The sequence below is a fragment of the Homo sapiens genome, chromosome 5 (assembly GCF_000001405.40).
Source record: "Homo sapiens chromosome 5, GRCh38.p14 Primary Assembly".
Classification (NCBI taxonomy): domain Eukaryota; kingdom Metazoa; phylum Chordata; class Mammalia; order Primates; family Hominidae; genus Homo; species Homo sapiens.
Genome location: NC_000005.10, coordinates 37553864 through 37580548, shown reverse-complemented (window position 1 = coordinate 37580548; position 26685 = coordinate 37553864). Strand labels below are relative to the sequence as shown.

At 39.7% G+C, this 26685-nt stretch overlaps 1 protein-coding gene across 5 annotated transcripts in view, besides 2 other annotated features; it reads right to left on the bottom strand.

Annotated features, from left to right (window-relative positions):
* The window catches only part of WDR70 (WD repeat domain 70), a 374118-nt gene that overhangs the window by 172887 nt on the left and 174546 nt on the right, over nucleotides 1-26685 (bottom strand). The gene's annotated exons all lie outside the window — the stretch shown is intronic.
* Nucleotides 17413-18120: an enhancer, noted in NCBI's record as "NANOG-H3K27ac hESC enhancer chr5:37562531-37563238 (GRCh37/hg19 assembly coordinates)". NCBI's record gives its function as "activates a minimal SCP1, AML or CMV promoter by ChIP-STARR-seq in naive H9 embryonic stem cells {active_cell/tissue: H9 hESC(naive)}" and the evidence as "EXISTENCE:reporter gene assay evidence [ECO:0000049][PMID:30033119]".
* Nucleotides 17427-17605: a silencer, noted in NCBI's record as "fragment chr5:37563046-37563224 (GRCh37/hg19 assembly coordinates)". NCBI's record gives its function as "represses an EF-1alpha promoter that drives an FKBP-Casp9 reporter gene in an ReSE screen in K562 erythroleukemia cells {active_cell/tissue: K562}" and the evidence as "EXISTENCE:reporter gene assay evidence [ECO:0000049][PMID:32094911]".

Below are 26685 nucleotides of genomic sequence, written 5' to 3'. Positions count from 1 at the left end.
TGGGTGCTTATATGTTCTGAAAGTTAAGTAACATCTAGAATTCAATTAGGGGCATTTCACAGTAATGGGTTTAATTGCATCTATTCCTGGGAAAAACAAAGTTTCCATCTTTCACTGTATCAGACCCAGAGCAATGGTAGGTAATATCCAGGCTGATTTGAAGCCCTCTTTATCTTCTGACCCAGATAAATGGAAATATGCCATAGCTGTCGTGTGTTAAGCAGATGGGACACCAAAGGGGTTGAGCTGTTGGCCAAAGACAAAGGAAAAAAATTTCAAAATGTAAGCCAAAGCTTTCCATAGCTGCTTGGCAATACGGCTTCCAAATAAACTATCTTAATTTGATTCACATGCAAAGAGTAGAAAATTAAAAACAGAACAGTGAATAAAAATTAAGTGAATTCATTAAATAGATAAAATTATAAAGCAACATATATTGATATCAGGAATATTTGAGTTTCTATGGACAGTATAATTCCATATTTATACTAAGTTATATATTGTCTTGGGCATACAACAGATAAGATATAAATTTTTGAGAAGCAAATGTTTTTCCAAGAAGCGTATGACCTCTAATGAATCAATAAGATAGAATAGAACCCAATAATTTTTAAGTATATTAATCTAAAAGTCCTAGGACAGCAAAATTAAAACGGAGTGTTAAGGAAATACAAAAGAGAAGAAATTGAAGAGAAGGTGGAAATGATCTAAAGAAAAACATAATATAAAATGTTTGGGGATGTCTTGTTTATAAAAGTTGCTTATCAGAAAAATTCCATTGTGGGTGCCCAGTCTACTGAAAACTGTAAGAAAGAAAATACCATGCTGGATTATTCACAATAACAGAACAGATTTTTAAAAATACACTGAGATCCAATTTTTTTTCAAACAATAATTAAATCTATATTTTAAATGTCTAATTGTTCATTGTCAGAATTGGAATTTTTTTTTTTTTTTTTTTTTTTTGAGACAGAGTCTCACTCGGTTGCCAGGCTGGAGTGCAATGATGCAATCTCGGCTCACTGCAACCTCCGCCTCCTGAGTTCAAGTGATTCTCCTGCCTCAGCCTCCCAAGTAGCTGGGACTACAGGCACCCACCACCACGCCCAGCTAATTTTTGTATTTTTAGTAGAGACGGGGTTTCACCATGTTGGCCGGGATGGTCTCAATCTCTTGACCTCATGATCCACCCGCCTCAGCCTCTCAAAGTGCTGGGATTACAGGCGTGAGCCACCGCACCCGGCCAGAATTGGATTTTGTGTCTTTTTCCTTTTCACTACTCTTCCAGAAGTGAATACATTAAAAATTTCCTTTCTTCCTTCTCTCCCTACATCTTCCTTCCATTCAGTCAAAAAGTATTTACAAACCCAGTGGTATCCCAAGAACTGCTCTAAGTGCTGGAGATAAGGTGCTAAACAAAACAGACAAAAATCCACAACCTTCTGAAGCGATTAGTCTGGTTACATGCCTTGATTCATTCGCTTGCTCCTTCATTCCAGTATTTCTCTTAATTGTGTGCCTTCAAGGAACAGACAGTTTGAAGACACACTTACCACAGGAATTAGAGAAACAGAATAGCAACATTAAGATTAAAATTACACAGGAAAATTAAAATCTCAAAAAAGTTATTTAAATGAGAACACAACATGTGGAAGAGATATGGGTCAGGTTCAGGTCAGTGCCCACCTGTGGAAATGTATCTAGGCTAAATGTATAACTTTTCTGTGTTTCTGTATGTTTGAGTGTATTACACTCCCTTTCTATAAAACTTGTCATATCACATTATATTTTACACTGTACATTTTTCTCTCCCACATTACACTGTGAACTCTTTGAGAACAGAGTCTAATTAGTTGTGCCTTACAAATAAGCTCAAATAATTTTATTGAATTGATGGCATTTAATTATAGGAAGAAAATTACCCAAAATATTGTGCCTTAATCATTAAATAAGAAAAATGACACAAATTTGCTTCGATTTTCAATAAAACTGAGAAACACTAGGTACACAGCCAAGAAATCAGTGAAGTGTGTTATTAAAATTTCATAAATAGGGAGCAATTCCAGCTGAATGGTCAACTACCGAACAAAAAGACAGAGTCCACATGTTGATTACACTGCTACTCTGCAACTTTCCGACATCCACTACTAGTGGGTTTATTACACTTAGAGCTATAAAATAAAATGGCAATGCCCTAGTACAGAGTCCAAAAAAGGCAAAGAAAAATTCCTAAAAATGTTGACCTATTTATGGTTATTCAACTCATTAACTTCATTCTTCCTCTCCACTCTGCCTATATTCATGCACCATCCTTAATGAAACAGCCATTATTTCCACCTCTCCACACTTCTTCCCTTCTCTACCAAAACTTCTTTCACATTTTCTATGCAGCCTTATTTTCTGTCTCTGCCACTTTACTGAAACTATATTCTGAGAGAGACCACAATGACTGCCTGGCTGCCAAATACAACAGTTATGCACATCCTTCACCATCTATTCCTTGAAGCCTTTTCCTCCTCTGATGCTCAGTTTTCCTGTCCCTTCTACATCTGACTTTTGTCTTTAAAAAGCTAGTTTGTGTTCCTCAGTGTTCTGAGGTAAATGTACCAATCCCTCTGACTTCAACACCACCTATACAATGTCTCTCAGGTCTAAGTTTTACTATCCATGTATCTATCCATCACCTGGGCTGCAATTCTACATTTCCAACTATCAGCCAGACATGTGGTTTTCCTGCAGGCAGCTAAAACTTAACATGCCAAAAATAGAATGTAATATCTTTCCCCTCATACCGGCTCTCCTCCTACCTTCCCTGTATCACTTGGGGAGAGTCAGCATTAACACAACTGTTCAAGGAAGTGGTCTCATTCATCCTTGACTCCTTCTTCTCCATCCCTACAATGCACATGTAGCCTTCTGTCTAGAATATAATTTTGCCTCACACGTGTATCTCTCTCCTCCTCCATTCTCAACTAAAACATTATCTCCCTGGGAAAGTCTTCCCTGACCTCTTCTCTCGAATTATTATTTTATATGTATATATGTACGATTTAATTATTTTTTTGATTGATTGGCTGGCAAGGTATCACTTGTCACCCAAGCTGGAGTGCATTTAATCAGCTCACTACAACCTCGAACTCCTAGGCTCAAGCAATCCTCCCACCTCAGCCTCTTGAGTAGCTAGGACTGCAGGCATGTGCCACCATGCCTGGTTTATTCCTTTTTTATTTTTTGTAGAGAAGGTGTCTCACTCTGTTGCCTAGGCTGCTCTCAAACTCCTGGCCTCAAGCAATATTATTATTTTATCATTATCATCATCATCCTATAAGTTTTATTCTGTCAGCTTCAAAGGACTGCCTGTAAACTATAACTATACTTCATTAGTATTTTTCTCCCTGACTAGATTGGGAGCTATCCTGCTCACTAGCATCCCTTAGAACCTAGCTCAGGATATAACACAGAGTAAGTGCCAATAACTCATGACTGAATGAATATCTGATCAGATGATAAGGTCTGATGAATCCCATTTTGAAGCATGCCACACACTTGTCCCTTCTTTTCCACCAACTTGCCACGAGTGTCCTGGATTGGACCTTTATTCCTGTTGTGTAGACTCTAGAACTAATCTTGTGACTGAGCTGAACTCCCTGTCTTTAGCCTAGCTCTTCTTTACCCTGTCATAAAAATGATCTTTTTATTACAAAAAATAAAAATAAATTTGATGATGTCACTCTCCTGAGGAAGTCTCTGAGGGTTTAGAAAACCACAGGAAAAAAAAAAAAAAGACTACCAAATATTTACGGTACAGCACCTAAGGACCTTCCTAAAATGATCATAAATCACTCAATTTTCTAGGATCTGGTCTAGCTACTTTGGGTTCTTCATTTTAGATACACTGGAGGGTAAGAAAGCGTTCTTTGATAGATAGGACTGGAAGGAAGCGCTATCAATTAATTAAAAATTAAAAAGAGCCTAGTTGTTCTAATGTCCTAAGTGAAAATAAAGTTTAGAGACTAAATAGCTTGAAAAATTAACTGGTTCTTCTAATTATTCATTTTTGTATTGCTAAATAAAATACAAGTATATAACAAAATCAGAGGAAAGGTCCCAAATTACATACAATGGACAAGAAAAGTAAGTATCTCTGAGGCCATGACATTCTGGAATTTGAACTGAATGATAAGGAGCTATTATCTTGCCTTAGAACACACCAGGAAGTAGAACAAACAAGTGAAACCTCCTAATCTGGGAAAGAGCTCAGTGTGAGAAATGGAGGTAAGCTGTGGCTGGAGCACAGTGTAACATGAGATAAGGTCAGTGAGGTAGGAAGGAGCCAGATGGAGGAGAATCTTGCAATCTGGATTCTATTCTAAATGGATAAACCACTGGATTTTAGGGAGGGAGGGAGGGGGGAAGGAGGGCGGAGGGAGGGAGGGAAGGAGGCGGGGAGGGAGGGAAGGAAGGAAGGAAGTTAGGAAGGAAGGAAGGAAGTTGGAAGGAAGGAAGGAAGGAAGGAAGGAAATCTGCTTTTTATACTCGTAATACTTCTGACACAAAATGTGTGTGTTTTTCCATACCAACAATAAATTATCCAGCAGATACCAACTGGGCATCCTACAATTCAATTTCATTCTGACACTGTCTAACTGGAGTTAACGTCAGACCCAAGTTTAGGACTCAGTCTCACAAGACAGCCCCCATTTCAGATGCCAATCGCAAGTTTGGTTTGCTGGTATTTCTAATTAACTTGGCTACAACCCCCTTCTCAGGTTTGGTAATTTGCTATAAGGGCTCACAGAACTCAGGGAAACCCTTGACTTACATTTACCAGTTTATTATAAAGGATACAGATGAACACTCGGATTGAAGAGCGGTATATAGGGTAAGGTCTGGAAGTTCCTGAGTGCAAGAGCTTCTGTCTCTACGGAGTTGGGTAGGCTCCTGGCATGTGGTTGTATTTACCAAACTGGAAGCTCTCATAGTTTTGAGATTTTTTTATGGAGACTTCATCACACAGACATAATAAATTATTAACTCAATTTCCATCTTCACTCCTCTCCCTGGAGGATGGGGGTAGAGCTTAAAGTTCCAAATGTCTAATCATGGCTTGGTTTTTCTGGTGACCAGCCCCATGTTGAAGCCATCCAGAAGTCAACCAAGAGTCACCTCATTAGCACAAAACATGCTTCTATCACCCAGAAAATTCCAAGGATTTAGGAGCTCTGTAGAAGGTGCGCCATCATCCCATCACCCAGAAAAATTACAAGGGTTTTAGGAGCTCAGTGTCAGAAACTGGGGACTGAGACCAAATACGTATTTTTTTATGATGTCACAGCAAGAAAGAGCATAATCTGATTTATGTTATAAATTCCAACTAAAGAAGTGATTCATTCAATCTTTATACATATGACAAATATTTAATGAGTATCCACTCTGTACCAGATAGTGTTCTGGGCGCTGTGGACACAGAGATGAGTAAGACAGTTAAAGCCCTTGCCCTCACGGAGCTTTCATTCTAGGGGATTCTGGGAAGGCAAAAAGAAAGCAAACAGTCCAGTTAAGATACCACTGCAGAGTCCACATGATGGATCATAATGGTTTCTAATGTACTGGACAACATGGGTCATTGTGGAGAAGGAGAAAAATGGACAAGTAAGTGTTATATTTTAGATGTACAACAGATAGACTTGCTAAGGGATTTAACATGAAAGGTAAAGAAAAATCAAGAATGACTCTCACATCTCTGGTCTAGTCAATTATTAATACATGGATGGGTGCAGTGTTGTTTATAGAAATAAGGAAAAATAGGAGAGCTACCGGTTTGGAGAAGAAAACCAAGAGTTTTATTTTGATCATATAGCTTAAAGTGTCTGGTTAGACATCCAAAGAGTAGTTAACCAGCAGGCTATTAGATCTGTAAGTCTGGAGGTCAGCGGAGTGGGCAGAACTAGAGATGTAAAGGATTGAGGCACAGAAATGGGATTTAAACCACAGGACTTAGGAAGAAACTACAAACAAGGGCAGAGTCCAGAAACAAATCCTGACATATGCTAACTTTCAAAGGTTGACAACAAGAGGAGAAGGAAACAAAGGAAACTGAGAAGAAGTGATGACTAAGGTAAGGAAAAGACAAAGAAATGTGCATCACTGTAGCAAGCCATGGAGGGGGGTATGCTGCTAGGATGTCCTTTCAAGAAACAACTTGCCATTCAGCTGTAAAGAGTACAGTTAACTGACAACCTTCACCTGTTAACACCTTAGGATCTGCTTTGCTTTTGTGTTAAGGACAAATACTTCCCTAGCCAATAAGAGAGCACACTGTGGGTAGTATGACCTGGCCAAGTCTACCTAACATGGGTTTCCTCTAACAAGCAACCTTTGCTCCAGAGGTCCCAGTGGATTGTCAAATACTTTGTTAGATCTGCATTATGGTCTTCCCTACCCAATCCTGCTTCCACCCCTCTCAACTTCCATAGGTGTTAGATCTTGGTCTGAAGGCTTGACCAATCTTGCTTTGCTCCTCTTGTATCTTTCACGGTCAATCCCCTCCCCTCAATAAAAATCTTGCCAGCCTACCTCCATCTCAGCTCTTGCAGCCTGGGAGACCACATCAGTCACAAAAGCCAAGAACAAAGAATGTTCCAAGGAGGAAATGATCCAGCGTGCTGAGGGTTGCTGAGAAGCCAGGAAAGGAGAGAGAACTAACCAGTGGATTTGGTAAAATGAAGGTCACTGAGAACCCTGAAGAGGGTAATTTCAGTGGAACGGTGTGGATCAAAGCTTAACTGAAATGGGCTCTGAGGTGAATGACAGACAAGAAATGAGACAGAGACTACAGACAACTAACTCATTTTGGAACTTTTGCTGTGGGAGAACAACAACAAAAAAGAGGCACTATCGCAAGGACAAAAAACCAAACACCGCATGTTCTCATTCATAGGTGGGAATTGAACAATGAGAACACATGGACACAGGAAGGGGCACATCACACACTGGGGGCTGTTGTGGGGTGGGGGGAGGGGGGAGGGATAGCATTAGGAGATATACCTAATGTTAAATGATGACTTAATGGGTGCAGCACACCAACATGGCACATGTATACATATGTAACAATCCTGCACGTTGTGCACATGTACCCTAAAACATAAAGTATCATAAGAAAAAAAAAGAGGCAGTAACTGAGGGAGAATTCGGGTGAACAGGGGCCTTTTGTTATTCTTACTGTTTAATGAGAGCTACTGACGGATATTAATAAGTTGATTGAAATGACCCAGTAAAGAAGAATGATGATTTGGGGAACAGGGAGAACTGTAGGAGTAAAGCCTTTAAGGCAAGACGGGAAACCTGAACTTTCAAAGCAGAAGAAAAAAATTACAGGAGAAAAAAACCCACAGGTTAGCTTACATAACTTCCAGCTTTAACAAGTGCTGTTAAAGAACAGTACAAGAATTTCAAAAAGTATAACAGAGAAACTTCACTTAGACTGAGGATCCCTGAGGGAGTAAAGTTTGTCAGAAGAGTGAAAATAAGAGCATTCCAGGAAGAAGAAAGAGCAGGTGCTAAAGCTAAGAGATGGAAAAGAGTTTAAATTATTGGAGGACAAGAAAATCAGTTGCTGTGATGAATTAAAAAGAGTTAGAACAAGATTATGCAAGATGATGTGGGAAGTAATAAACATTTCGGATTTTAGCCCAAAGCCTAGAGGTTTTAAGTTGGGGAGTTACATGACTTGATTTGTGATTTTTAGAAAATATCACTATGTTTGCAGTGGGAGGAAAACAAGTGAAAGATCTGTTGAGAACTGATGGTGATTTGAACTCAGGCAGTTGAATGCATTTATTCCCTCATTCAAATAATATTTAATAGTGAGTAAGGTGCACTGATTCAATATGTATTTTTAGAGGTAGAATCTACAGAACTGGTGCAAGTGGGGTTAAAAGAAAGGAAGTTTAGGGTGGGAAGGGGTGGATGACAGGAGGTTGCTTGGTGGGTACAATGTATGTTTCTCCTCTGACGGATACACTGAAGGCCCTGACTTCACCATAATACAATACATCAATGCAGCAAAATTGCACTTGTACCCCATCAATACATACAAAGAAAAAGAAGGAGTTATCAAGGATAACTTCTAGGACTCTGGCTCAATGAACTAAGCAGAACTGTTTATAATAGTCAGCAGAAGTACACCAACTTCCCAGGGGCCCCACAGACCATATAGATCCAGCAGCCTCTTTTCTTGGTGGTATACCAAGGCTTTCCCAGTCCCACCACAACAGTCACAACATCAAATGAATTGCACGACACAGGCTTACACAGTGTATTTCTCCTACAATGTTCAACTACCTCGTTTTGTGCCTGAGGGAAGGGATTGCCTACTGAAGTTGGAATCTGGCCATGTGTATTAATGCTGCTCTCTTTCCCTTTATATATAATTTTACACATTTCAGTAACAGAACATAATTCCTCAGCTCAGCAATTTATTTATGGGCAGTTTCTGAAGCTGTTATCACTGGCTTCTCCTTCTGGCCTTCATGGGAATTAGAAATCCTTACTTATTGCAGCAGGTCCTTGCTCCTGTTATCTAAGACAATCATTCACCTCCATAAACCAGATCTTAATACCCCTCAGCTTTTTGTTTTTCGGACTCCAGATGACTCCAGACATCATTCTTTTTGCTCCTGTAATTAGAAATATCCTTTACATAGAGGCACAACAAATAATCAAGCCCCTAAAATCCCTGCAATAAAATGTCAGAACAGGTGTAGAAAAGAATTTGAGTAAATTAAGCACACTTAAATTACCAAGAGGATGGGAGAAGGGATGTTGCCAATTTTCAAAGTTACAACCAAAAATATAAGGCATCTATCTGTCTATCTATCTATTTTTTCATTCAACATCAAGGAGTGTTGCATGCTAAATCAAAGGTAACCTTTATCCCTAATACACTCCAGTGGATTTTAAGAGTAACTCTCTTCCAATGTAAACCCTTGGGGTAAATTAATTATTCAGTAGGAAGTGGCTTAATATACTTAACTTAAACAAATGAATACATGGACTTAAAATAATCCTCCAGAAGTTATCAAATTTATTCCAACATCTAGGCAACAACAGACTCTTTGACTGACTGTTAAATATTGTGGCACTTTCCTGAAAGATCATTTTGGATCCAAACACTTACTAAAGAGTACAAGACTAGTCTATTCTTGGCCAATTATAGATTATTACCTATCTACCTCCTTCTCCTATGTTCAATAGCAATGCATCTTTTGGAATAGATTGCAATTTGTATTTGAATGTTGTTAGAGAAAAGAGTATATGATAAAGTTCATCCAATAGGCAGCGCTACTTAGAAATTTCGGTTTTGAAGTGACTTTTAATATGCAATTTGAAACGCTGCTTTTTGCCTAAGGCCATATTCAAAATCAAGCTTTCAAATCCACAAACATTTTCAAGCACTACCTACTTGCCAGCCACTGTGTGGAACATTAAGAATAAAAAGATGAGTAACACAAGATGCCAGTCCTAAAAAAAAAATCATACAAACTTGGTGAACTCAGGAATTCAATATCTTGTCAGAGCACAGAGATGTACACAAAACCATCTATGAGAACCTTATATGTGTTACTATAGCTATCAAACTAGGGCAAGAAAATAATTTTGCTGGGGAAGGCTTCATAGAGGAGGGACTATTTGAGAAACATCTGGAAGGAAGACTGGGTGTTCAGCCAGTACAAAAATGGGTAAAGAACATTCTAAGTGGGAGGAACAAGTTGTGCTTAGAAACAAAGGGTACGAACATGTTACTAAAACCAAAAGACATTTCTTCAGACAACACTTTACTTGGCCTCATAGCAGCCATTGATCTTGATAACTATTCTCAGATCTTTGACACATTCTCTTAGTTCTGTGACAGTACTCTCAGTTTTCCTCCTATTTCTTGGTTGATCTTAGCACTCTGTGGACTCTTCTTTGTCTCTTAAATATCGTCATTTCCTCAGGATTCAGTCTTGGGTCCTTTTCTCAAAAGTGAAAAGCTCCCTGCCTGGTTGATCTCATCCCCTTCCCCTGATTTCAATTATCAAATACTTATGACTCTCAAAGCTATCAGAACAGATATTTTCTGAGTTTCAGAGGCAAAAAACTAGCTATCTTCTGGCACTTCTTAAAAGTTTCTCATATACTTCAAACTTGACACTTTGAAAATTACATTGTCTTCCTCCTAAAGCCCCCTCCTGCTGTGATACCCCTCCACCTCAGTGAATCATCTAGCCAGCTGTCCAAGCCAAAAACCTGAACACCATCCTTGATTCCTCTATCTCCATTATACTCACCATTGAGTCAGACCCTATGTCCTGTCAATTTTGCCTTTCACTAGAATTCACCTACTTCTCTTTACCCCAACTGCTAGTGCCCCAATCTATGGTCCCATCGCCTCTAGTATAAATTACTGCAATGCCCTCCTAATTGGCCTCCCTGCCTCTAGTGTTGCTTCCTTTCAGTCTACCCTCCACAATAGTATGTCTTATAGCATCTTGCATAACCTGGTTTCTAATCATACTCTGAACTCGTCTCTTACTATTAGTCCCTATTTCTTCTGTATTTCCAGCCATAATTACACAGTTATCTTGCCTTTAGGTCTTTCTACATACATTTTTCATGCATAAAATGCTATTTCTGCCCCTTTTCTACAATTCCCAATCCATCCTTTAGGCCTAAAATTATATATCACTTCTTCAGGGGAACACTGATCCCTCAATTGCTTCCTCTTATGTGTTCCTATCATTAGAATTTCTATTCCACTGTATTTTACCTTGCTGTTTAGTAGCCAGTATCTTCCTAGACTGTAAGCTCACAAAAGCCCTAGGCAAGGTGCCTATGCATATTTTGAATGGTCAAAAGCAATTTGTGGTATGACTAAACAAATGAGGAAATAAGTCTTAACACACTTCATCAAAACATTGAGCACGCAAGAATGAAAAAGGAGTACAAGATGACAAGGGACGTCCTGTGGTTTCCCCTTTTAATAAGATCAATAGAACAAATAATATATGAAATGCTATTATCAAAGGACATTAAAACAACAACAAAAACGATTATTTGCAAGAGGGCAATTTAATTCAACAAACACTTGAGGGTAGCAAACAACCATAGAAATAAATTATTTTTGTGTTTGATTCACTAATTTTGCAAAAATATCATTCAGGACAATTTTCTGAGAAAGCAGCAAGTGACTTCCCACCCCTTCCAAGGACACACATTCTAAGACCAATCATTATGTAGAAGTTAGACACTGATGCATTAATAAACTACCCCAAACCTAGTAGCTTAAAACAATAAACATTTCTTGCTCTTAACTCTACAAGTCAGCTAGAACTTTCATTTTGGCTATGCTTTCTCATAATTCTGCAATAGCCTGACAGGTTGACATAATTCTCCTAATTATGCTTTGTCATAATTCTGAAATAGCCTGACAGATTGGCTAAGACTGGCTTATCCAGAATGGCCTCCCTCATGTATATATTGTGGCTGGCTAGCTCTTGGATGGGGTGACTGGTGAGAACATATCCAGCAGGCTAGCTCAACCTATTCTCATGTAGGTTAGGCAGGGTGCTCCATGAGCAGAGATGCACACAGCTCTTTGGGCTTAGTTTCATAATTGACATACCATCACTTCTGCCACTTCTATCAGCCAAAGCAAGTTATAAGGCCAGTCCAGATTCAAGAAGTAAGGAAACAGACTCTACCTCTACAGAGTTATATTGCAAGGGGCACAGATACAGGAGGGAAATAATCAAAGTCATTTTTACAATCAATATCCCACTCACTGCTTAGTACCTACCTGACCCTACACAGGCATCTATCTTGAGCAGTACAATTCCATATAAGATATTCACAATTATGATTCTCATACAGCAGAAAGTTCAGTAACACTCAGTGTATTATAAAGAGAGAAGAATATTGTAAAAAACATGCCATGATCAGAACAAAGGTTAAGATTTACACTTGATAAATAACTTTATTGTGGTGCCTTGCCCCACTGATTTCAGAGAACAGTGATTGTAATATAGTGCATTCTTGTTTATTCACTGTGAGTGCTCTCAACAAGACCTGAGAAAGTTAATAAGACAATCCATTGAATTACTGGTGAAAGGATTCAATTAAAATAAACAGGGGCTAAACCAAAGTTAGATCTTTTAAATATGTATTTTTTAACCTGCATTTATAAAACTTAAGGTAAGGACCAGGTCATAGACCTTCTCAACAGCTGCCACTTCCCAAACACCACACCTGCCAAACACTTCCCACACACCTGCTACAGAGATAAAATTCTCCTAAAAAATTCACAGAATCACTCACTACACCCCTGTACCACAAGAAGGAGCCAGGTGGGTGGATGGGTGGGTAGGGCTAAATGAGGAGGTCCTATGGCAAATACACATAAACCTGGCAACCTACTGAAAAGAAAATTAGATGAAAACTTTTATTTATGCAAACTGATATCAGTGAGGTATTTTTCAGCAACTACAAAAACTGTGCTGGACTTGAATAGGTAAATAGAAACCAGACCAAATAACAGATAAGCTTAAAAGCATGCAGATCTTCAAATCCAAGTGATATTACTGGGTGCACTTGATCCTTAGACTATGTGGCCTAGTTTTGCTGGATGACCCTCTAATTTCTGAAAAGTGCTACAGGATCCTCCTGACAACGACCTCTCCTAACTCCAGCTTGGGAACTCTTAGCATTTCCGATGTGGATTTTAGAGACAAAGATAGAACACTGCGATCTGCCAAGGCTGAAAAGGGTATCACTTTCAAAGGTTAAAAAAATCTCCCCCCTCCCCTTTTTTTTATGATGACTACCCAATTACACAAGCCAGGCATGATAACTGGGAGCAGTAAAAGAAGTCTTCTGTAGCCATGCTCAAAACTCATGTCCAAACTCAGTGAAAAAGCCCATGAGACACAGCAATACAATGCATCTTTGGGGGGTTGCTCATGGAGTTATCTAGCATGGAAAAAAAGAGTTAACATAAGAACAAAAAACTCAAAACCAGATTATATTGTTAGCACTTCTTATCAGAAGCTATTTTGTTATTTTTAAATCGTTTAGTTTTTCATTTCTTTTAATTTTACATAAGAGCATCAAGTTATACAAGAGATTTATTCTTAAAATTCTGTGGGCAGAACAAAATTTTGTAAAGTGAAACCCATTCTTCCTCTGAGAGCTATTATAAAATCTAGCATGTGTATCTATATATAAGCATGCTCCTGAGACCATGGATTTAGGTTATATTTTTGTGTACCACAATAAAAGTTGTGGTGTGATGACTATGTGTGTGATGATACTCATTTTCCATGAGCCCAGTTGATCCAGACTCCAGGTATCTTTTATCAATATCCAGCAAGGGCACTGTTTCAGCACTCATTTATTTACAAATAAAAACTAATATCTTGATTTCTATGTCTGGGGAGAAAATTGAGAAAACAGCTTATTAGGAATAGTCACAGTAACAACTACCATACTATTATTAATTTTGGAGACCCCAGGTTCTGACTTCACTTCCCAAAATGAGTCAGAGAAGCCTTATAGTGATTTTCCTTAGACATGTCTTTCTCCCAGAAATCTAATAACACTCTTAGGATGATTCTGACAGTTCTCCTCTGAACTAAATCCCTGGTGAACTATACAGCATATCTCCTCACTAACAGAATCTTTGGTCCAAGTGCAAATGTCAAAAAATATTCCCTTTACCTCCTTACTCTCAACCCTTGGATTAAACGAGGCAAAACCAGGCCTTATGTATTAGCCTTGCAGCTTTCTAATTGCTAATTCACTAGTCATTCAAACAATCAAGTAGCACAGCTATCAAGGATCTTGAGAGTTTGTTCCAGGAAATAAATAAGCATGATCTGTAAAATGCCAATTACTTGTGTGCAAAAATGGGGTGTTTCTAAGACTGAGAAAAATTGCAAAGTTTATTTTAAAAGTAAACATTATTTCTATTATAATTACTATATAAATAGTTGTTTGTACCATGAAGGAAAAGTATTCTAAGCAAAGAAAAAATACGATTAAGTTCATTGTATTTGTCCTGATTTGGGGGTTAAAGAAAAAAAAATTATCTCAAATTTTCAAAACAAAAACAAGAGGTAGATTCAACAAGCTCTTACTAAATAATACTGGGTAATTAATGATATACTATCATACCTAATTAAAGTACACAGTGATGATAAGCTATTATCACAGGAGGAAAATAAAACTTTAGTAACATACTACTAACAAGTATTTAATGCATATAGCATTTAATTACATAATTTCGTTAACAGGAAGAATCAGTGTACTAAATTATTATTCGTTTCACCTTTAATGCATCATTTTAAAATTCAGAGTAAATTAGTGGTTGCTACAGACTGGAGTAAAGGGAAAATGGCGTGTGACTGCTAAGGAATACAGGGTTTCATTTTGGAGAGATGAAACTATTCTAAAAACTAGATGATGGTTGCACAACTCTGTGAGTATACTAAAAAACACTGAATTGTATACTTGAAAGGGTAAATTTTATGGTATGTGAATTGTATCTCAATAAAGTTGTTGTAAAAGCAAGTAATACTAATATTTTTCTTAATTACATGAATTCCTAAAAAGCAAGTAAGTACTGATTCCATATCTAATATGCTGAACACATTCAAATCTTCTATTTATAAACTGCCTTCCCTATTATTTTCTAAAATATTATCCCCTGAAGGGTTACTCTAATAATCTAAATATCCACAGGCTTCTAACAACTTTTCAAAACATAGAAATGACACTAAACAATTGAAGATTTTGACATCTTGATGAACCCATTTAAAAAAAATGTTTAAATTCCAGTGGACTACATAATATAAAGACACCTGTTTTCCTGGGAATTAACAGTTGTAAATACAGACAACATAAGTAATTTCACACATCAAGTTGATGTGTAATAAAATAAATCTACTCAAGGTTCTTCTTTCATCAAGATAACAGACTCTAACGATAAATGACTACAGCTCATCTTGTTAAGATCAAAAGGGAATGACTTTTGCAGCAAAATATGTCTACCAGCTAAACTATTTCACCAGCTCAGTTACTAATGACACAAAAGCAGTCTTACATTAAGCAGCAAAAAAGAAGAGAAGAAAAAAGGGATTTTTAAAAGACCTTAAAAGGAGTTTGTCAAGATTGTCAAATGCTTTGTAACGTTTATTTAGACTTTAGAATTTTACATATCCAGAAGAATATCTCTGAATTGTGCTGACAACACAATAAATTTTTGATTAACTGTAAGCTCTCTACAGAGCTTACAGTATTTCAAACCCACAAAAACTACAGTAATATTAACAGTTCCTTCTTATTCCCACCTTATAATACTAAAGTGAATTTGCCACTATTGAAACACTCAGAAAGAACAAGATCTGTAAGATCTTCATCTTTTGTTGTTATATAAAATGTCATGTAAAGTGGTTAAGTTTATTATAATGGTATTTCTAAAAGGCTCTGTAATAACTTATTTTGTATTTGAATCTTAGCTACGTAAGTAACTACAAATGTTTATGCGTAAAAATATGAGCTGTACTTAAGGTGCCTTTGAAATAAAATAACTAGAAAAGTATCAATTAACATAAATAGAAAAACTCTTTTTAAAACTGTAATCCAGAAGTACTCAAATGAAAAAAGGTTTCTTAAAAAAAGGCTGTAAGTGAAAACTGCAACTAACAGTATAAATGGATAACTTCATTCTTTTTGATATCATGAATTTTATTGGATCCTATATAATTGTCATACCAAGGGGAGTCTCACAATTTCATCTTAGGAAAGGAAGTAAAAATTTTTTTCTATCTGCAGTCTTAAGAGCTAATTTTCCTGTAAAAAGATCTAACTTGTCCACATTTGATGGATAAGAGAATTAAGCCTCGCTCTCCCTCTCCCTCCTCTCCCTCTCCCTCCTCTCCCTCTCCCTCTCCCCACGGTCTCCCTCTCCCCACCGTCTCCCTCTCCCTCTCTTTCCACGGTCTCCCCCTGATGCCGACCCAAAGCTGGACTGTACTGCTGCCATCTCGGCTCACTGCAACCTCCCTGCCTGATTCTCCTGCCTCAGCCTGCCCAGTGCCTGCGATTGCAGGCGCAAGCCGCCACACCTGACTGGTTTTCGTATTTTTTTTGGTGGAGACGGGGTTTCGCTGTGTTGGCCGGGCTGGTCTCCAGCTCCTAACCACGAGTGATCTGCCAGCCTCGGCCTCCCGAGGTGCCGGGATGGCAGACGGAGTCGCGTTCACTCAGTGCTCAATGGTGCCCAGGCTGGAGTGCAGTGGCGTGATCTCGGCTCGCTACAACCTCCACCTCCCAGCTGCCTGCCTTGGCCCCGCAAAGTGCCGAGATTGCAGCCTCTGCCCAGCCGCCACCCCGTCTGGGAAGTGAGGAGCGTCTCTGCCTGGCCGCCCATCGTCTGGGATGTGAGGAGCTTCTCTGCCTGGCTGCCCAGTCTGGAAAGTGAGGAGCGTCTCTGCCCGGCCGCCATCCCATCTAGGAAGTGAGGAGCGTCTCTGCCAGGCCGCCCATCGTCTGAGATGTGGGGAGCGCCTCTGCCCTGCCGCCCCGTCTGGGATGTGAGGAGCGTCTCTGCCCGGCCGCCCCGTCTGAGAAGTGAGGAGACCCTCTGCCTGGCAACCGCCCCATCTGAGAAGTGAGGAGCCCCTCCGCCCGGCAGCCACACCGTCTGAGAAGTGAGGAGCCCCTCCGCCCGGCAGCCACTCCGTCTGGGACGTGAGGAGCATCTCCGCCCGGCAGCCACCCCGTCTGGGAGGGAGGTGGGGGTCAGCCCCCCGCCCGGCCAGCCGCCCCGTCCGGGAGGGAGGTGGGGGGGGGTCAGCCCCCCGCCCGGCCAGCCGCCCCATCCGGGGGGAGGTGGGGGGGGTCATCCCCCCGCCCGGCCAGCCGCCCGTCCGGGAGGGAGGTGGGGGGGGGTCAGCCCCCCGCCCGGCCAGCCGCCCCATCCGGGAGGTGAGGGGCGCCTCTGCCCGGCCGCCCCTACTGGGAAGTGAGGAGCCCCTCTGCCCGGCCAGCCGCCCCGTCCGGGAAGGATGTGGGGGGGTCAGCCCCCCGCCCGGCCAGCCGCCCAATCCTGGAGGTGAGGGGCGCCTCTGCCCGGCCGCCCCTACTGGGAAGAGAGGAGCCCCTCTGCACGGCCAGCCGCCCCGTCCAGGAGGGAGGTGGGGGGCCAGCCCCCCGCCCGGCCAGCCGCCCCATCCGGAAAGTGAGGGGCGCCTCTGCCTGGCCGCCCCTACTGGGAAGTGAGGAGCCCCTCTGCCCGGCCAGCCGCCCCGTCCAGGAGGGAGGTGGGGGGGTCAGCCCCCCGCCCAGCCAGCCCCCCCATCCGGGAGGGAGGCCGGGAGGTCAGCCCCCCGCCCAGCCAGCCGCCCCGTCCGGGAGGGAGGCGGGGGGGGTCAGCCCCCCGCCCGGCCAGCCGCCCCGTCCGGGAGGTGAGGGGCGCCTCTGCCCGGCCGCCCCTACTGGGAAGTGAGGAGCCCCTCTGCCCGGCCACCACCCCGTCTGGGAGGTGTACTCAACAGCTCATTGAGAACGGGCCATGATGACAACGGCAGTTTTGTGGAATAGAAAGGGGGGAAAGGTGGGGAAAAGATTGAGAAATCGAATGGTTGCCATGTCTGTGTAGAAAGAGGTAGACATGGGAGACTTTTCATTTTGTTCTGTACTAAGAAAAATTCTTCTGCCTTGGGATCCTGTTGATCTGTGACCTTACCCCCAACCCTGTGCTCTCTGAAACATGTGCGGTGTCCACTCAGGGTTGAATGGATTAAGGGTGGTGCAAGATGTGCTTTGTTAAACAGATGCTTGAAGGCAGCATGCTCGTTAAGAGTCATCACCACTCCCTAATCTCAAGTACCCAGGGACACAAACACTGCGGAAGGCCGGAAGGCCGCAGGGTCCTCTGCCTAGGAAAACCAGAGACCTTTGTTCACTTATCTGCTGACCTTCCCTCCACTATTGTCCTGTGACCCTGCCAAATCCCCCTCTGGGAGAAACACCCAAGAATGATCAATTAAAAAAAAAAAAAAAGAGAATTAAGCCTCAAAGCCATTAATTAACTTGCAGGATCTAAGTTTTCTGATTTTTCTAGGATGTCATTTTACTTTTTTTTTTCTTTTGAGACACACAGTCTCACTCTGTCAGCCAGGCTGGAGCACAATGGTGTTATCTTGGCTCACAGCAACCTCTGCCTCCCGGTTCAAGCAATTTTTGCGCCTTAGCCTCCCAAGTAGCTGGGATTACAGGCATGTGCCACCACACCCAGCTAATTTTTATATTTTAATAGAGACGGGGTTTCACCATGTTGACCAGGCTGGTCTCGAACACCTGGCCTCAAGTGATCCACCTGCCTTGGCCTCCCAAAGTGCTGAGATAACAGGCATGAGCCACCGCGCCCAGCCTAGTATGTCATTTTAAAAAACAAAGAAAAATTTTCACTTAATGACATAAAATTTTAACATGCATTTGGTGTCACCTCCTCATATGTAGACCCCAGGACCATGAGACAGCATCATGGAATACCTCAAATGCCTCTTTTTTCCTTGCCACTATTTCCTTCAACCTTAATTCTCTAAATCCACAAGTTCTTTCTTCCTTTTCCACAATAACACATGAAACAATATTTACATAAATAGCAAAACTGCTTACAATTTCAGATGCTATCTTTATGTTAAATCAACAGAGAACCTTTCTAATTTACTACTAAAAAGCAGTAAGTCACAATATGAACTATAATAAAAGGGATTCTACCCACCAGAGGATTAAGCTTTGCCAATACAATGAGACCTATTTTATAAAAATAACCCTCATAACGACATGGCCTGTTGCTGAGACCCTCCTACACCAGATCCTGTCCTTGTTGGGGATAAAACAAGCTTTAGCACCATGCCAACAAAGCAGCTGCCACAAATGAATTCTTCCTGATTCTAGAGAACTATCACTCCATTTCCCCACCAAGGTGGCTAACCTTATTTGTTGTTAGCATGTGTTTTGGCTATATAGCTTAACTAAATATTTTATGCAATTTAAATTAAACAGCTGTTTTAGCATAGTGTATACCATCTCTGTGATATCGATGAGGAAGACTTTATTTCTAAAAGAATTCAAAAATATGGATTTATAGACTGACCAAAATAATCTTATCCCTCGGTTTTCTATATTAGTTAGATCGGTCCATTTTTCTAGCACTTTGAGAGAGAGGATAGAGGATACCAAGAAGTACAAATTGTCCCGTCTTCGTGGCACTTAAAGTATTATTTAAAGAAATTTCTTTTTTCCTGTAATACCAGTGAAACGAGACATGGCAAGTCTGTAATAGCCAATCACAGTCATCTTCTTAGTAGATTTCCCCTGACAGTATGTATAGTAGACTGCTTTTCATGGAATTAAGAAAAGAATGCAGTTGACTCAGTAATAATGACATATACATGAACCTGCCAGTCATAGGTGTACCACATGGCCGGCTCAGCCAAGCTTTGACTTGTATTTTTTTCTTCAAGATTGGCTTCTTGGTGGTCTGCACCTATAGTCCTAGCTTCTCAAGAGGCTGGAGAAGGAGGACAGCTTGAACCCAGGAGTTCAAGGCTGCAGTGGGCTATTATTGCACTAGTGCAATCTGTCTGGGTGACAGAGCAAGACTCTGTCTCTTAAAAAAAAAAAAAAAAAAATCTGCTTCTGCAAGCCCTGTTCATGTAATAAAATAAATGACGAATAGCTAATAGGATGTCCAGGGAAGGCCCAGTGAAGGCCCAGTGATTCCAAATGTCACAAAGCTTCTAGCTGCTAACAAAGAGGCCTAGTCTCTTTTTTATAAAGAACTATTGAAGCATATTAGATAGGCTCATTTATAATTTGGAATATGCAGTTGCATAACTTGAAGAAATTATGGTAGGAATTAGCAATAACTAATAAAGTTTAATTTATGTTTGGTCAGCAAAGTGTATATAATTTAAATATTTGAAACAGCAGAAAAATAAGAAGGAAAAGTGTCAACTATAGACATACAGCTTACCAGGTAGACTCTCATATTTGACTTTAAACTGAGAGTTCTGGAGAGGTGTGCCCTGTAGCTCATAAGATACATCCTAACAGAAGGAGCTGAACTAGATGAAGAGAAAACATATGGACCAACAGGTCAGAGAAATAACTTTAAATAAAGTAAAAAAAACAATTCATTGAAAGTGCAAAATCTGTAATGATTTTGAAAAATATCTGGCCCTGATCTGCTTCTCCAAACAATACAACATTAGCAATTTATAATATTTACATTAAAAAAAGTAGTGTCTATCTCTCTCTCTTGAATTATAGAAACTCATAATTCAGGCTAAATGGAAACAATTATTCGCTTTTCTTGGTTTTAAGTACTCTCTCACTAGTTTGCTTAAGTTGGCTAACTAAAATATCAAAATTTTATTCTGCTATCAAAAAGAAATTATTCTAAAAAACATTAAAAATCTGAAAGTTATTAGCATAATCAATAAATACAATAACACAAAGCTCATGAGTCAAAACAAGAAACTAAAACAGGTGACATTTTTAAATATAAGAAAAACAATTAGTTTATGTTATTAAGGGACAGTAAGAGTCAATTCATAATTTCCTAAGGCTTTCAAAAAGTTTTTTTTTTTTTTTTATACTGAATTTTGCTCTTGTTGCCCAGGCTGGAGTGCAACGGCGTGATCTCAGCTCACCACAACCTCTGCCTCCTGGGTTCAAGTGATTCTCTTTCCTCAGCCTCCCAAGTAGCTGGGATTACAGGTGTGTGCCACCACCCCCAGCTAATTTTTGTATTTTTAGTAGAGACGGGGCTTCACCATGTTGGCCAGGCTGGTCTTGAACCCCTGACCTCAGGTGATCCACCCGCCTCGTCCTCCCGAAGTGCTAGGATTACAGGCGTGAGCCACTGCGCCCGGCCTCAAAAAGCTTTATACTCCTACTGACTAACACATTTCTGGCAATCAACACCCAAATAAATCAATATTTCTATAAAACTTTACAGGAATATGCTCTGGATTAATATTTGTGTTAAGTGAGATGAAGGAGGAGGAGAATGGGTAAAGGAAAAAGCATGAGAGAGGAAAAGTGGGGGAGGAAGACAGAAAGGAGGTAGAAGAGAGAGAGTGGAAGAGTAGAGAAGGGCTAAGAATAAATTCGATATGATAAATTATGCCAGGCCAAATTATAAGAAAAGTTCAATACATCTTGCTTAGTGATGAGGATAGTGTAGCATAAGAATACACAGAATTGGCCTGGCATGGTGGCTCACGCCTGTAATCCCAGTACTTAGGGAGGCCAAGGAGGGTAGGTTACAAGGTCAGGAGTTCGAGACCAGCCTGGCCAACACAATGAAACCCTGTCTCTATTAAAAATACAAAAATTAACTGGGCATGGTGGCGGGCACCGGTAATCCCAGCTCCTCGGGAGGCTGAGGCAGGAGAATCGCTTGAACCTGAGAGGCAGAGGTTACAGTGAGCCAAGAGCACACCACCACACTCTCCAGCCCAGGCGACGGAGCTAGATTCCATCTCAAAAACAGAAAAAGAAGAAAAAAAAAAAAAGAATACACCAAATTATGACAGTAAGTATCAGGGTAAGAAAAATTAATAATCCAGCTATGGGAAAGAGGTAAGGATGGGAATAAGTAAGAAAAGGACAACAAAACTAGGCTTACTAACTTGAAAATGATATCGCTGTGGAGCCACCCAACCTGCTTTCCCTATAGAGGAATTAAAATGTATCTATATAAATAATACAGATGGCTGACAGATAACGCAGAACAGAGAAATAAACTTTTGTCAAGAAGTGGGTATTTAGGAATCAAAGAAAAAAAATTGTTTTAAAGAATCAACGTGGGCTGGGTGCAGTGGCTCATGCCTCTAATCTCAGCACTTTAGGAGGCTGAGGCGGGTGGATTGTTTGAGCCGAGGAGTTCAAGACCAGCGTGGGCAACATGGCAAAACCCTATCTCTAAAAAAAAAAAAATTTTTTTTTAATTAACCAGGAAGGTGGTGTGCACCTATAGTCCCAGCTACCTGAGAGGCCCAAGTGGGAGAATCACTTGAGCTTGGGATGTCGAGGCTGCAGTGAACTGTAATTCTGCCACTGCATTCCAGACTGGGCAACCAGAGCAAAATTCTGTCTCAAAAAAAAAATCAAAGCTAAATACATTGTGTTCAAAACAAAACATTTAGGACAAACTACATGCAATTCAGGATCTTCAAAACATAAATATCAAACTATGTCAGAAAATCTAGACAGATTACATCATATCAGTATTCCTAAACAAATGGCTGATATTTCTGTTGAAGGTACATTCAGAAGGGCTTTCCTTGCATCTAAAAACAAATGAAATTCTTATAGAATTTTAACTACTACTGAAACCTGAATAGCCAAGGCGGTTGGCATATTTAGAGTAAAAGAGTGGTCATGCTAGTTCTTACAGGAAGTGTAATAAACCGATATTAGTTTCACAATACATTCCTTTCATATACCTTTCATCATACATAATAAATATACATAATACTCTTTTGAAGAGTATTCAAAAGAGTACTCTTTTGAAGAGTTTTCAAAAGAGTATAAATCTGAAGAGGAAAACTAAATTAGATGCTCATACAATACAAAATATAAATAATTTATTTTTTATTATATAGTCAACTCTGGCAAGGTAGATTACCTGATGTATGGATTAGCCATGAAATATATGTTGATTTAATAAGATATTTAGAATTACCATGAACCAGAGTTAAATGTCCTTATTAGAAGATACCTAACACTTGAAACTAGTTACCAAAAACTCAGCACTGACTCTGCTACAATGTTTAACTCCTCTTACCACTAAGTCTATAGTACCTCCCACCCCTTGCCAAAAGTGTGTCCCAAAATAATTACTTGAGATTCCCACACAAAAACCAAGTGAGGAAGAGAAGAAAAAAGGAAGGCTCTTGCAATTGCTGATCTTGTGAGAGAGTCATATGAGTTAATACAAAGTGCTTATAAGAGTTCACCTGGCACATAGCAAGTGGTTGGTAACACTGGCTACTACCCTCATACAAAAACAGTGTCTCAAGTCCTGGTCTCCACAAAGTCTCTAGTAAAAATAAATAGTCCATATTTGGCAAACTTATGGTTGATCTATTCAGGGTTCCTGTCTTGCCAATGGTCTTCAGAACCCATCAGCATTAATTACAATAGCTACTTGGCTGGTCATTAACATCAGTGATTTTGCTAACCTTTTTTTTTTTTTTTCATTTTTTTAAATGAACTTCACAGATTTCAAGCACTAACTTTGCTGTTTTGAAACAACAGGTAACCATGCTGGCTGGCCATAGATTTCATTCCATATTCAAGTACCACCAGATAGAGTTAATTCAATTCACCTGATCTTTTATTTTTAGCAGTTACACAGGTCTAAAATCAAAATCTCAATGATTTCATCTCTAACATACAATTGCATTTTTAAAAGGAAAACGAAATATTAAGCCCAGTGAAACCCCTCCATATTACTCCTTAATACTAATTTGGATGAAACAGGACTGGCAGTTGGCTCCCAACCTCCACAAGAGGCTCAACCTAGTTATTTAATCAATTTTATTACATAACCCTATGTTTAATGTCATCTCATATTTTACACAACTGAATATTTGGGGCTCCTTTTATAGTGTTATAGAAGGGTTTTGCTGTATCCCTAATTGACACATGACATTCCTATGTTTAAATTCTGCATTGTTCCTGCTCTCCAAGACTGACCAGCCCACCCTTCCCTATTTTCCTCTAATTGCTACTGCAATTTCCCACAGTCCCAAGGCATCTGCCTGGTTAAAAGGAATGTTAACAGCTGCATAAAATTATAAGATGAATTAAAAAATCATTAAAAAGAGATAGTACTCTATTGAAAAATGTGGAGATGAATAAAGCATTTGGTATTTCAAACATCATTAGTAAGTTTGCTTAAGATCAAGGACTTCTAAAAGAAAATATGACTTGAGTGAAGATAACATATGTTTATTATAGAAATTAAATATTTCAATTATCAGAGCTAGAAGAGAAACCGAGTAATTTTAAAACTTTTCAAAATCAATAAATTAGCTTTTTCAAACAGAATTTCATGTCTAAAACAGGTAAGTTAAGGGACTTGCTAGTCTACCCAATCCCTTGATATTAGAAGATAAAAACTAGATGATAGTAGCTACCACGGAATTGGTCAAATCATACAATTCAGTCAAGCAAGAATTAGTACACAAAAATAAATTCTTTGGAAAGTGGGACTATTTTTTCTCAAATACTTCTCTGCATCTAAACACAGACGATAATCATATGCTTTTTGAAAAAAAAAAAAAAAGAGGAAGAAAATCCAAAATATGGAACTAGTTGCATATGTAAGGTATTTAACAATACTATTTATAATAGAGAAAAGTGAGTAACAATGGCTTGGTTAATTATAGTACTTAAAACTGAACATTGGCTGGGTGCAATAGCTCACACCTGTAATCCCAGCACTTTGGGAAGCTGAGGCTGGTGGATCACCTGACGTCAGGAGTTGGAGACCAGCCTGGCCAACATAGTGAAACTCCATCTCTACTAAAAACATAAAAATTAGTCAGGCGTGTTGGCATATGCCTGTAGTCCCAGCTACTCGGGACGCTGAGGCAGGAGAATTGCTTGAACCCAGGAGGTGGAGGTTGCAGTGAGCCAAGATCACGCTACTGCACTACAGCCTGGGCAACAGAGCAAGACTCCATCTCAAAAACAAAACAAAACAAAACAAAAAAAACTGAACATTATACCACAAGTAAGAACTATATCACAGCAGGGAAAGGGGCTTCTGGCATAAGGTTAAGCGGGAAAAGGTGAAGTTTTAGGTAAACTATACTTATAGCATGCTCAAGTACATGTAAAAACATTCTAAGATATTTCCTCCTCTCAAAACATTACTAGTTCTGAACTATTAGAGCATGGGAATCAGGGGTGAGATCTTGCCTCACTAAACTGCCCAAGATTTCTGCAATGTTGTTATACTGCTTTTAGATATAAGGAAATACAAAGGGCACCAGAAAAAAAATCATAGACTTATTACCTCATAACCTTAAGAAATTCATTCATCAATCTAAGCATTTGAGAACTTCATCTCTTTTAATGTTTATGAGAATGTTGTGTTGGAAGTGGGGATAAGATAGAATTCATTTAATGCTTATAAATCATAAATAATAAACATCATTAATAAGTGTTTTAAGAGTCTAGGAAAAAAGACTGCCTCATATCACTACGTTATACTAATTATGCTGTGAACTGGTTGGGCTTTTCCTGTCAATTTTTTCTGTGAATTTTCCAATGCATTTGTTGCCTACAATTCTAGCAGCTGCCATTAGGTGGTGCCTTCTCATGGGAGCTAAGGCCTAAATAAAGGAAGAGGTAAGGTACACAACACAATTCTATAAACAGTAGAACATGTTATCAATAATCATAATAAAATGTAGCTAACTATTCACTCTAAGAGATGGCTGGCTACATAAGAAACATAATTTAAAGAAATGTAAATAATTCCCTAATACATATTTAAACCATATATTTAACCTTTATTTCCTCCATTAAGTTCCTGTAAAAATCTGTAACTAAGACACAGAGGCACATAACTGTAGTCCCAATACTCGAGAGGCTGAGGCAGGAGGGTCATGTAAGCCCAGGAGTTTGAGGCTGTAGTGCACTATGATTACACCTGTGAATAACCACTGCGCTCCAGCCTGGGTAACATAGCAATACCCTGTCTATTTAAAATGTGTGTGTGTGTGTGTGTGTGTGTGTGCGTGCAGGTGCATGCGTGTGTGAGTATGTGTGTGTGTGTGTCTGTTAGCCTAAAAGGTAACAGCCTACAGTTTATTCTGTTCACTGCTTCTGCTTATTTCTGCCTTGCTTTGACCACTTTAAGGCTTCTGGGATTTACAGCTGGGTATGAAATCTTACTGATGCCTGGAATTATTTTCATTTAGCTACTTTCCTGGACTTCCATTCATCTTTCAACCTCAATCTAAAACATTATTTCCATTGTGAAGCCTCCCCTGATCATCCAAGCAACATCTTCCTCCAAATCTCACAGAACTTGAGTCAGGCAGACCTAAGTATAATGCTTATTTAGCCCTCTGTAAGACAGTAGGCCAGCACATACACATATATTTTATGAGCCAGCAATGCTGGCCTATGACCAAGATTACATCAGCCTATAAAGCCAGCCAGTTCTTTATAGGCCAAGACCTAGCAGAGACAGGCTCACAATTTTCCACAATAGCTCTTAACAGATACATGACTTAGTAGCTGTCTTTGGTAATGCTGGCTAAGTACAAACAACCTGAGCGTACTTAAAAAAAAAAAAAAAAAAGGAGTATTGCACTAAATCAATGGCAAAGTTTGCAACAAATTAATTAACCAAATGGATCAACTGTCTCTGTGGAAGGCTGTTGTTAAAACAATATTCCATAATCCCTCTAAGACAGATGTTTATAAACCTTTCAATAATACTAACAATAATAATAGCAACTAACTTTTATGGAGTGCTACCATGTGATGACACTATTCTTAGCACTTTAAGTACATGAACTCAATTAATGCTCGCACAATCCCATT